This window comes from Homo sapiens, chromosome 2 (genome assembly GCF_000001405.40).
Source record: "Homo sapiens chromosome 2, GRCh38.p14 Primary Assembly".
NCBI lineage: Eukaryota > Metazoa > Chordata > Mammalia > Primates > Hominidae > Homo > Homo sapiens.
The window spans coordinates 60,931,613-60,944,835 of record NC_000002.12 but is presented as its reverse complement, the minus strand read 5'-3'; the positions used below and the strand labels follow the sequence as shown (position 1 = coordinate 60,944,835).

General features: G+C 38.7%; 1 protein-coding gene and 2 pseudogenes across 22 annotated transcripts in view; all 3 read left to right on the top strand.

Moving 5' to 3' along the window:
• PUS10 (pseudouridine synthase 10) overlaps window positions 1-4,613 on the top strand; it is a 78,037-nt gene extending 73,424 nt beyond the window's left edge. For 19 of the 22 annotated variants that reach the window (XM_011532574.4, XM_017003428.3, NM_144709.4 and 16 more), the window contains one exon: window positions 2,403-4,613. In XM_011532574.4, coding sequence (XP_011530876.1) covers window positions 2,403-2,441 — 39 coding nt within the window. In that variant the 3' untranslated portion in view covers window positions 2,442-4,613. The remainder of the gene's footprint in view (window positions 1-2,402) is intronic. The other 3 variants (NM_001322127.1, NM_001322123.1, NM_001322124.1) reach the window with 1 other exon arrangement.
• Window positions 6,151-6,659, top strand: RPS12P3 (ribosomal protein S12 pseudogene 3; annotated as a pseudogene).
• Window positions 6,787-8,906, top strand: NONOP2 (non-POU domain containing, octamer-binding pseudogene 2; annotated as a pseudogene).

The window sequence follows — 13,223 nt, the reverse complement described above, 5'->3', positions numbered from 1 at the left end:
TATGAGGTCTCATTTATGTTCCTTGAAAATATATAGCTAATTTATTAACTGTGCTTTACATGTAGTATCAAATCTAAACCCTTAAACCAAGCACGGAAATAGTCATTTCCATACCTGTTGCGTTTTATAAAGACTTTAAAGCAGCATATTCAGAAACATGGATTCACAAGGGTAGAAAGTGAGGTGAGCCAATGGTTCTTCATAAAAGCAGTTCTATAAGGACCCCTGTGATGTGGTCCAAGTTCTCTGCTCTTACAGTCTGAATTGAAACAAGGTTAAATTCTAAAGTAATTGTAAGAATGGTTCTGTCGGGCAAGTCTCCATAAATATTTCATTTGAGTATCAATAGGTGTTGAGTCACGAGTGGTGTTTCTTCATGAAAATCTGACTAGGAATAGAGTACCTCCCCCGCTCCTCTCCCCAGAATCTTAGGACTTGGGGATTTGTACTTGGGAATAATATCAAAGTTATAGAAAGAAGTGGGCATAGTTGCCCAATGTGAAAACATCTATGGTAATCAAATGATCACTGGAGTATTACTTCCTTACCAGCAATTCTCTCAAGTGCTCTGGGATTAGATTAGCTCCTGCAGTACAGCCAGTGATCGTGCCCTCAAGGTTGCAGGGAGCCTCTTCAGTGAAACTATCATTTGGAGGAAGAAAACCTTCTGTTAAAGAAAATCTCTACTCATCATCTTTTTTTTTTTTTGAGACAGGGTCTTGCACTGTCACCCAGGCTGGAGTGCAGTGGTGCGATCACGGGTCACTGCAACCCTGACCTCTCGGGCTCAAGCGATCCCCTGCCTCAGTCTCCCGAGTAGCTGGGACCACAGGCATGAGCCACTATGCCTGGCGTTTTTTTGTTGTTGTTGTTGTTGAGATGGGGTCTCACCGTGTTGCCCAGGCTTGCATTAATCTTTTTTTACTTTAATTCTCAGAACAGTTAGGAGTGTCAAAGACTCACAGGCCAGTGTTTCTCAACACTGACTGCCCACTGGAATCACTTGTGGAGCTTTTTAAGCACTACAACTTGCCTCCCCTCCACACACACACACACACACACACACACACACAAGATTGTGATCAGTCATGTTTTATTTTCAGCTTGAGAAAACACTCATTAATTTACATTTGGGTGTTTGGTATATGGCTATATTCTGAAACAGAACAAAAATATCTTCTTGAGATTTGTAAAAGACACACACACACATAGCTATTTAGGCTTTTCTAATAAATTTTTTTTGAAGCCAGTACGTGAAGTGACTCATGGATTAATGAAAAAATTTTCAGTAAATAATTTTATGTTTTAAACTTTAAATGTCAATAAAAGCCACAGATAGATACGGTGGGTTTTTTTTTTTTTTTAACTTTCTCTTAAAGTAGATCCCCTAGCCTTTGATAGACCTGGTATGTGTTTATGTGGAGACAAATAGTCTGTTTACTGTAATTTCATTCTGACTCAAAGATCAAGGTTTTGTCCTAGAAGAACAAAATAAAGGTAAGTAGAGATAGATGAACTGGATTTTAAAGAAACAGAAATTCTACAGAACTGAAGCACAAAGATCCTTAATCCTTTTCTGGTTCCAGGTCATCTTTCATAATCATTTATTTCACATTTTGTTGCTGTGTTACAACAAGACTATAGGCTTATAGACTACTTGAATATTTGTTAAATGCAAGATGAGAGAATAAAAATGATCAGAAGAATAAAAGTTTCTGAGACTTCTGAGGGAAAATTGGTGGTCACTTGAATTTGTTTGCTACTTTTACCCATAAATACTTTTTTTTTTTTTTTTTTTTCTGAGATAGATAGGGTCTCATTCTGTCACCCAGGCTGGAGTGCTGTGGCGTGATTTCGGCTCACTGCAACCTCTGCCTCCTGGGCTCAAGCTGTTCTCCTGCCTCAGCTTCCTGAGTAGCTAGGACTACAGGCGTGTGCCACCATGCTTGGCTAAATTTTGCATTTTTAGTGGAGACGGGGTTTTGCCATGTTGGCCAGGCTGGTCTTGAACTCTTGACTTTGAGTGGTCTGCCCACCTTGATCATGTTGATCTATATAATTGATCGGCCTCCCAAAGTGCTGGGATTAAAGGTGTGAGCCACCACACCTGGCCCCATAAATACCATTTAAAAAATTTAAATGTATTCTCTTATCAGTCAAAAAGCACAGTTAATAACCAACTGAGTAGCCAAATACTGCTACTCAATTAATTCAGAAGACCTCAGGCCCAAGAATACCTAGAACAGACTTGAGGGTTAATTTATGGTATTCAATAGCTCTTTTCTTCAAATGCAGTTTCTTCTGTTGCACTATATTAAAACTATTAAATTTATACAGCATTACCAGCAAATGCTTACCACAACAGTAATATCTGTTTTAATGACTTCTTTTCTCCCTTCTAGTCTGTAGATGTTGACTGGCCACCTGCTCTGGATGACTAGCTTTCAAATTTGGAGACAAAGAGTATGGTTTTCCTGGCATGATGTGGACATCCATGGAGCACATGCCGTAAAATGGCTGTTTACCCACCATAACGGTGTCTTGAAAACTATTTGGATCATGTTGATCTATATAATTGTTAATTTGTTGTAACATCTCAGGATCTATATATGTGTATATTTTGTGTTAAATTGTTCCAAGGATGTCTTAGGATTTTTCTCATTCCCTCTTTCACCCCCACAAACCAAACTATGAATAATGAAATAATTCTCCTTAATTCTTTCATTTAGAGAGGTGCACAAACAGGACACATTCTCTGTTAACCTAAGAAGCTGTAATTTCAGCAAGATTTCCCTCCACAAGAGATATACCACCTTTAAAATCATGTTCTAATTTTTGTAAATTATCTGAATAAAAGTTATATCTAGATTTATGCAGCATAATATCCTATAATAGTCTAAGATTGCAAATGCAAATCTGACATCATTATTTTCCCCAGGAAGCCTCAAACAAGCTATTACCAATGAAGTTCTTTTGGCTGTGATTTGTCATAAATCTTAACCAAACTATGAATAATGAAATAATTCTCATTAATACTTTCATTAAGAAAGAATTTTGACAATCTAAAATTGTCAATATAGGTTTCCTGTGGAGGGAAAGTAAAACCGTAGGAGCCAAGGCATGCCATGGTAGGAGCCTTTCATAAATCTTTTAAATAAGGAGAAACAAGTGCCTTTAATAACTTCAATCCCAGGGTTAAGAATTTGAAAAATTGAGATTGCTAAACAAAGACGAACTGGTATTATTTCAGAATGCTTCAATATATTATCCAATTATAAACATTTTAATAATACCTTATTAAAGTAGATAGGATATTGTCTCCATTTTATAAATATGGAAACCAAAGACTAGAAGTTAAATGACTTATCCAAAATTGTTAGCTACTTCTATATTGAGGACTAGAACTGAAGTTTCTTGGTTTCTAGGGTCTTTCTAATAAGCCCTATTACTGAGCACCTGTTTGTGTGAAGGGGCAGCTATGGATGCCATTTAAACTCATGTAACTGATAATTAACTTTTGGAATGTAGTTACCAAATCAAAGAGCTTACCAAAAAATAGCCCAAGACTATTTAATACAATCTTATATAGTTACCATTTGTTATTAAGTTAAACCTCAGTTGGTATTATGAAGAGGAAAAACATTAAGCTAAACCTAAAAAAAATGAATGGGTCATTTAAGTTTCAGAAAGGAGCCTCATTACAATTTCAGATTTGAGTATAATTTCCATCACCCTAATTCAACTATTTGAGCTTTTTTTAAGAATACATGTGACTTGACTAGTATTAGATTACTAACCATTTCCCATCTCTATATTAAACATAAATCACAGATACCAAGATTCACTTTAGATATGAGGAAAATGGTTTTAATGGACACAAAGGAGTCAGCCACGTTGGAACCAACATAGTTTCATACCACGTTGAAACCATGTGTTTGATATGCAAATAACAGCAAATAATTTTTTCACTCTTGTCAATGCCAATGCATTGAAAGGCCCAGAAAATGAGAAAAGGATAACAAACTTTTGATAAAAAGGTAAGAATTTCTGTGTGGATGTTCCTCAGTTTCTGGGAAAATTTTGCTACAAAAGAGATTTAAATAATTTAGGAGGCAGTCTTTTGCATGGTATTTTTGGCTTACCTTTGAATCTAGTGGACCTGTAATATGTAAGAATGAAGAATGTGCTTAGCAAACTGAAATGAGAAGATTTCTATTTCTTAAATTTCTATTCCTGAGATTATATAAAATTTCACGCAAAGAGTAAGCATTAGCTTTAAATACTTCTTCCAAATGTTCCTAGAATTTTGAGACAAAGATTGTTAAAAATTAATGTATGTCTTTGTTTTAGGCAGAACTGGAAATATTAAGTAGTGAGAGTACTATAGTTTCCCTTTTGCCTACATAAAAGCATTTTAAAATTAGTTTTATGATTTCTTTGTAAGCTTTATTTAAATTCAAAGTCTTTTTCATAACACTTAAGAGAAAGAGCCCTTTGTACTTCTTAGTATCTCTTATATAGTCCCAAATATAGTCTGTGGTTTATTTTAGGAAAAACATCAACTCTGAATACCTGGAAAAGTCAAAAGAAAATAAAGTTGGTAAAATGAAAAATGTCCAAGTAAGAAAACCGGTTACATTTGCAAGTTATGTGAAGTAAATTTAGAAGTTAAATTTCCATTTTGTAAGAGAAAAACATCTTACTTGGCAAATCTTTTCTTTTGGAGCTAATTATTCTTTGATTTTTAAGTCCACATAAGAGAATGAACTTTGATATCAGCTTTTCTGATTTTTTAACAAAGGCTACCCTTGTTTATTATGAAAAATATTACTTTTATGATTCTATTTTGAATTTTTAAATTTTGAAATAATTCCAAACTTACAGGAAAAGTTAAAGTACAAAGAACCTTTTTCCCTGAACCATGGAGCCAGTGCTGTCTCATGATCTTAAAGGCTTCAGTGTGTAATTTCTACAAACAAGGACATTCTTTTACTTAACCACAACACAGTGATCAAAACCAGGAAATTAACACTGGTATATTACCATCTAACCCACAGACCCCGTTCAAGTTGCCAGTTGTCCCATCAGTGTCCTTCATAGTCAAGTGCTCACATTGCATTTTGTTACGTCTCTTTAGTCTCCACCACTCTTAAAAGAAGTTTGTCTTTCTTGACTTTAATTACTTTAACATTTTTGAACACTTCAGGTCAGTTATTTTGTAGACTGTTCCTCAATTTGGGTTTGCCTGATGTTTCCTTTTTATTAGATTCAGATTGTACCTTTTTGGCAAGAACACCACAAAAGAGAGATTGTCTTCTTGCATCTTATCAGGTGTCACACAGTTTTGATTTGTCCAGTTGCTGGCTGGGGCTTTGGTCAATTGATTAGGTATTATCACGAGGCTTCTCCACTTTTATGGTTATTCTTTTTGCCCCTTGTAGTTAATAAGTATCTTGTAGAGAGATCATCCAACTTTCACTCACTAGTTTTAGCATCCATTGAAGATGTTCACCTGAATCAATCAGTACCACAATGATTGCCAAATACAGATTTTCTAATTCCATCATTCCTTTTACATTTGTTGGTTGGCATTACCCTAAAAGGTAGAGCTTTCCCTTCTCTCCAATTTATTCATTGATTTATATCATGTGGACTTGTGGCTTATTTTATTTGAGAAGTTGTAATTTGTTCGTTTGGCCAGTGGCGACCCCTTCAAGCTGGCTTCTGTGTCCTTTGGTATGTCCCCATCATTCTTGGAGCATGTTCTTACTTTCTAATACAAAAAGACATTCCATGCTCATCTTTGTATTTCCTCTGCACTAACTCTGCAAGGTGCTTTTTCTCTAAGATCTGGTCTCTTTTAGCAGAAAATGGTATTTAGAAACCAAGATCTGGGCAGTAGGTATGCTCATTGTTTGGTGCCATTGCTGTTCCCAAGCCCTCTCATGGAACAGAGCTAGGGAACAAACATGAATGCATGTGCATGCACACACACACACACCCCACTCATACACACACACCTATACATCTCTGTATCTACACATACCGAAAGCTGTAGGAGTTTATACCAGTACTTCCAATTCCAACCTTATTCTAGTTTTCACCCTTTCCAAATTTGTAATTCTCTGACTATAAGAAATCTGGCTCCTGCTCTTTCCCTGCTGCCACTGAATTGTATAGAGGCGGAGTCTCGGGTGCATTCAAGATCCGGCTTCACTCGTAACCCACTGCCATGGCCGAGGAAGGCAGTGCTGCTGGAGGTGTAATGGACATTAATACTGTTTTACAGGAGGTGCTGAAGACCGCCCTCATCCATGATGGCCTAGCATATGAAATTTGCAAAGCTGCCAAAGCCTCAGACAAGTGCCAAGCCCATCTTTGTGTGCTGTGTGTGCTTGCATCCAACTGTGATGAGCCTATGTATGTCAAGTTGGTGGAGGCCCTTTGTGCTGAACACCAAATCAACCTAATTAAGGTTGATGACCAGAAACTAGGGGAATCGGTAGGCCTCTGTAAAACTGACAGAGAGGGGAAACCGTGTAAAGTGGTTGGTTGAAGTTGTATAGTAGTTACGAACTATGGCAAGGAGTCTCAGGCCAAGGATGTCATTGAAGAGTACTTCAAATGCAAGAAATGAACAAGTAAATCTTTGGCACACACACACACACACACACACACACAAAAGAAAGAAAAAATAACCTCAAAAATAACCAATCTATTGCTGCCTCAATTCACAGTCCCCTCCCTGCTGCCCTCAGACATTCTCCTCAGGCTCCACACTGCAGCCCAGGAAAGAAGCCCTTCACCAAACGAGGCCAAATATTTCTTTGTGGGCAGTGTTCCTTCTGACATCACTGAGGAGGAAATGAGGAAACTGTGAGAAATATGGGAAGGCAATTTCACAGAAAGAGAGTTTAAATAAATTAACAAAAAGGAAAAATGAAAAAATTAAAAACGACAACAAAAAAGAAATATGGGAAGGCAGGTGAGGTCTTCATAAGGATGAAGGCTTTGGCTTTATGCACTTGGAAGCACGAACCCTAGTGGAGATTGCCAAAGTGGGTCTGGACAGTATGCAGCTGTGCGCACCCTGCCTGCCATAGTGCATCCCTTACAGTCTGAAACCTTCTAACAAACTTTTGGAAGAAGACTTTTCTTTGGCCAGGTGGAGAGGGCTGTAGTCATTGTGGATGATCAAGGAAGGCCCTTAGGGAAAGGCATTGTTGAGTTCTCAGGACAGCAAGTTGCTCAGAAAGCTCAGGACAGATGCAGTGAGGGCTTCTTCCTGTTAACCACGTTTCCTCATCCTGTTACTGTGTAGCCCATAGGCTAATTAGGTGACAAAGAAGGACTTCCAGAGAAGCTGGTTGTAAAGAACCAGCAATTTCACAAGGAGTGAGAACAGCCACCCCAGTGTGCACAGCATGGCTTTTGAATATAAGTATGCCATGCACTAGAGGGTACTCATTGAGATGGAGAAGCAGCAGCAGGACGAAGTGGACTGCAATATCAAGGAGGCTCATGAGAAGCTGGAGATGGAGATGGAGGTTGCTCGCCTTCATCAATGCCAGGTCATGCTAATGAGGCAGGATTTGATGAGGTGTCAAGAAGAGCTGTGGAGGATGGAAAAGCTGAACAACCAAGAGATGCAAAAACGACGGCAACTGGAGCCCATGCGAGAGGAGTGCAGGCACTAGGAGGAAGCAATGCACTGGTAATGGCAGGAAAGATTCACTGGAACCTTCTCTGATATGAGACAGCAGGAGATACAGATGGGCCAGATGGCTGTGGGAGGTGCTATAGGCATAACGGAGGCACCATGCCCCCTGCTTCTGTGCCAGCTGGCAGCCCAGCTCCTCCAGAACCTGAACCTATGATGCTAGATTGACCCCACCAACAACGGAATGCTTTGGCCAAGCTGCTGCAACGGAAGGAATTGGGGCAATTGGCGGAACTCCTCCTGCATTGAATTGTGCAACTCCTGGAGCTGAATTTACTCCAAACACACGTTGCTGATACTAATAAAGCTGCAGTGTCTAGTTTCTCAAAACCTTTAAAAGGGCCCTTTTTGGACTAGCCAGAATTCTACCCTAGAAAAATGTTAAGAGATTCCTCCCAATAGTTAGGTCTACCCTACCTATACTACTGTAGGGAGTATTTTGGAGGAAGAGGGCAAGGGAGGAGTGGTATTTAACAAACCAGTTCTGTGTGGTATATTGTTTAACTGATGAGTTCTCTGTGGTGCATTACTGAGGTCTCAAATGTGACTGTTGAAGACCTGGGGGAACTACAGTGAAATGAATCCAGTTAGAGACCCATTAATCTTGATCGTTCTTTTTTTCTCCATCCTGTTTCATTTGCTTTCTTATCCATACACTCCCCAACCCCAGAGACACTGCCACATACACCACAAAACACAACCTCCTCCAATGACCTTCGCCCCACTGCTCCATTCACTCCCAGGTGAGAATTCAGGCAAATGTCCACAGAGGTCACAAACAATGTACGTATAGTTCTTTTATATCCGATATATTATCCCTTCTTGTCCTAAGGAAGACATTTTCTCTTAGAGACTTTCATTTCAGTGTATCTTTTTTAAAAATCTTGTGTTAACTTGCCTCAATCTTTTTCTTGGATAAGGACAACCAGGAATGGCCGTTTTGTGTCTATGATGTTGCTGTTCACAACTTTTCTTGATAGGCCTAGTACAATCTTGGAAACAGAGTTGCTGTATGCTGAAGGTCTGAGAGTAGCTCTTAGCCTTGCCTATCTTAGATAGTAGTTATGCTGTGCATATTTAATTGATGTACTATGTTTGATTTGTTGCTGATACTTTAAATTTGAAGTTTTTCTGAGAAATGGAGCAGCAATGCAGCATCAACTTGTTAAATTACATGTTAAGCCTTGAAAAAAAAAGGAGATCACATCAGTAATCCCAGCACATTGGGAGGCCGAGGCAGGCAGATCACGAGGTCAAGAGATCAAAACCATCCTGTCCAACATGTTGAAACCCCGTCTCTACTAAAAATACAAAAATTAGCTGGGCATTGTGGCACGTGCCTGTAGTCCCAGCTACTTGGGAGGCTGAGGCAAGAGAATCACTTGAACCCAGAAGACAGAGGTTGCAGTGAGCAGAGATCGCGCCACTGCACTCCAGCCTGGTGAGAGAGCGAGACTCAGTCTCAAAAAAAAAAAAAAAAAAAAATTCCCTCATCAAAGAAAAGACCAGAACCAGACGGCTTCACTGCTGAATGCTATCGAACATTTAAAGAACTACGGCCAGACACGGTGGCTCACATCTGTAATCCCAGCACTTTGGGAGGTTTAGGTGGGAGGATTGCTTAAGTGCAGGAGTTCGAGACCAGCCTGGGCAACATAGGGATAACCTGTCTCTACAAAAAATAAAAAATTAGCTGGGTGTGGTGATGCATGTCGGCAGTCCAAACTACTCGGGAGGCTAAGGTGGCAGAATTAATTCAGCCCAGGCGGTGAAGGCTGCAGTGAGCCGTGATAGTGCCACTGCACTCCAGCCTGGGCAACAGGGCAAGACCCCCATCTCAAAAAAAGAAGAAAAACTAGTACCAGCCCTTCTCAAACACTTCCAAAAAATTGAAGAGGAAGGAATGCTTCCAAACTCATTTTACAAGGCCAGCATTACCCTGACACCAAAGCCAGACAAAGACACTATTAAAGAAGAAAACTTGTCAATTAGACTGTGGCAGATATGGAAAAAAAAAAAAAAGAAAGAAAAGAAAAAGCAAAAAGAAAGCTACAGGCCAATATTTCTGATGACCATAGATGCAAAAATTCTTTTTTCTTTTTTTTTTTTTGAGACAGGGTCTCCCTCTGTTACCCAGGATGGAGTGCAGTGGTACAATCATGGCTCACTGCACCTTGACCTTTCAGACTCAGGTGATCCTTCCACCCCTGGGACTTCAGGTGCACACCATCATGCCCAGCTAATTAAAAAAATATACATATTTATATAGGCAGGGTCCCATTATGTTGCCCAGGCTGGTCTCGAACTCCTGGGTCAAACCATCCTCAGGCCTTGACCTCCTGAAGTGCTGGGATTACAAGCGTGAGCCACGGTGCCTGGTCAAGATGCAAAAATTTTCAACAAAATACTAATAAACAAATTCAACAGCACTCTGAAAAGATTAATCACCATGACCAAGTGAGATTTATGTCAGGGATTCACAGATGGTTCAACATATGCCAATCTATAAATATAATACACCACATTAACAGAATGAAGGACAAAAACCACACGATCAAGTATTTGACAAAATTTAACATCCTTTCATGATAAAAGCTCTCAATGAATTAGGAGTAGAAGGAGTGTACTTCAAAAGTAAAGGCCATATGTGACAAACCCACAGCTAACACCATACTCAACAGTGAAAAACTGAAAGCTTTTCCTCTAAGATCAGGAATAATCCAAGGACTTCCACTTTCATTTCTGTTTAACATAGTACTGGAACTGGAAGTCCTAGCCAGAGCGATTAGGCAAGAGAAAGAAGTAAAAGGCATCCAAATTGGAAAGGAAGGAGACTGTCCCTGTTTGCAAGTGATGATTTTATATATAGAAAAGCTGAAAGAATCCACCAAAAAGACTGTTAGAACTAATAAACAAATTCAGTAAAGTTGCAGGCATATCAATATACAACAAGCAGTAGTGTCACAAAATATAAAATACTTAGGAATAAATTTAACCAAGAAGGTAAAATATCTCTACACTGAAAACTGTAAAACATTGACATAAGAAATTAAAGTCACAAATAAATGCAAAAATATCCCACATTCATAGATTGGAAGACTTAATATTGCTAAAATGTCCATACTAACCAAAGTGATCTAAAGATTCAGTGCAATCCCTGTCAAAATTCCAATGATATTTTCCACAGAAATCGAAAAAACAATCCTAAAATTCATATGGAACCACTAAAGACCCTGAATAGCCAAAGCAATCTTGAGCAAAAAGAACAAAGCTAGAGATATCACAATACCTGATTTCAAAATTACTACAAAGCCATAGTAATCAAAACATTTTTGTACTGGCATAAAAACAGACACTTAAACCAAAAGAATAGGAAAGAGAGCCCAGGAATAAATCCATATATTTACAGCCAGCTGATTTTTTACAAACGTGTGAAGAAACTTAATGGGAAAAGACAGTCCCTTTAATAAATTGTGCTGGGACAACTGGATATCCACATACAGAATAATGAAGTTAGACCCTTATCTCACACCATATTAAAAACTCAACTGACAGTGACCTAAATCTAAGACCCAAAACTGTAAACTATTAGAAGAAAACGTAGAGAAAAAGCTCCATGACACTGGTCTGGGCAATTATTTGAATATGACCCTAAAAGCACAGGTAACAACAACAAAAAAAAGACAAATCAAATGGGACTATATCAAACAAAAGCTTCTGCACTGCAAAGGAAACTATCAACAGAGTGAAGAGACAACTTATGGAATGGAATAAAATATTTATAAGCCATACATCTAATGAGGGGTTAATATCCAAAATATACAACGAACTCCAACAACTCAATACCAAGAAAACAGCCTGATTAAAAGATGGGGAAAGGACCTGAGTAGACATTTCTCAAAAGAAGACATACAAATGGCCAACAGGTTTAAGACATGCAAATGCTTACCATCACTTACCAGGAAAATGCAAATTTAAAACCACAGTGAGGCACCGCCTCAAAACTATTAGAATGGCTATTACCAAAAAAGATGAAAGACAACAAGTGTTGGCAAGGATACGGAGTAAAGAGAACTTCTGGCACACTGTTGGTGGGAATATAAACAGAAAACAAAATTTAAAATAGAACTACCACATGATCCAGCAATCCTACTATTTAGGTATATGTATCCCAAGGAAATAAAATCAGTATGTTGAAGAGATATCTGACTCCCATGGTCTCTGCAGCATTATTCATAATAGCCAAGATATGGCATCAACCTATGCATCAATCAATCAATAGATAAATGAAGAAAATGTGGTGTATATGTACAATGAAATATTATTCACCCATAAGAAAGGAAATTCTGTCATTTGAAACAACGTGGATGAACCTGAAGAACATTATGTTAAGTGAAATAAGTCAGGCACAGAAAGACAACTACTGCATGATCTCACCTATATGTGGAATCTAAAATAGTTGAACTCATAGAAGTAGGGTAGAATGGTTGTTACTAGAACTGCGGAGGTGAGAGTGGGATAGGGGTTGCGGAGTTGGGGAGATGTTGGTCAAAGGATTTAAAATTTCAGCTTGATAGGAATAAGTTTAAGAGATCTACTGTACAACATGGTGACTATAGTTAATAACAAATATATTCTTCAAAGTTGCTAAGAGTAGATCTTAAGTGTTCTTACAAAATAACTAAGTGAAGTAATACATGTTCATTAGCTCAGTTTAGCCATTCCACAACGTATGCATATTTCAAAACATCATGTTGAACAAGATAAATATTAATATATACAGTTTTGTCAATTAAAAAAAAAAGGATTTAAGAAAAGAGGAGGCCAGGCCAGCTATGGTGACTCACGCTTGTAATCCCAGCACTTTGGGAGGCCAAGGCGGGTGAATCACTTGAGCCCAAGAGTTTGAGACCAGCCTGGGTAACATGATGAAACTCTGACAAAAAATACAAAAATTGGCCAGGCATGGTGGCATGCGCCTGTAGTCCCAGCTACTTGGGAGGCTGAGGCGGGAGGATCTCTTGAGCCCAGGAGGCAGAAGTTGCAGTGAGATGTGATTGTGCCACTGCACTCCAGCCTTGATGACAGAGTGAGACTCTGTCTCAAAAAAGAGAAGAGACACCCTAGATCTCCATCCTTCTCTCTCTCTACCATGTGAGGATGATGGGAAGGCAGCCCTCTGCAAGCCAGGAGGAGAGCCTCAGCAGAAACCGTCCTAGTACCCCTGATCTCGGACTTTCAGCCTCCAGGACTCTGAAAACAGATTTTTGTTGGTTAAGCCAGAAAAGGAAAAAGGAAAAAAATCTTGTAAAAAGGCACTTCAGTACTCTACAAAATTATTTCAAAGGACAGTTACAAATGCAACCATATTCAGCAACAGCATTCCATAAAAATGTCTAATGTTTCTAAGCAACTAAAACTACCTTTTCCTGTTAGGAAGATGCTATAAATATGAAGAAAATCTGATATTTTAAAAGTTAAATAGCAACAAAATTTCAGCAAG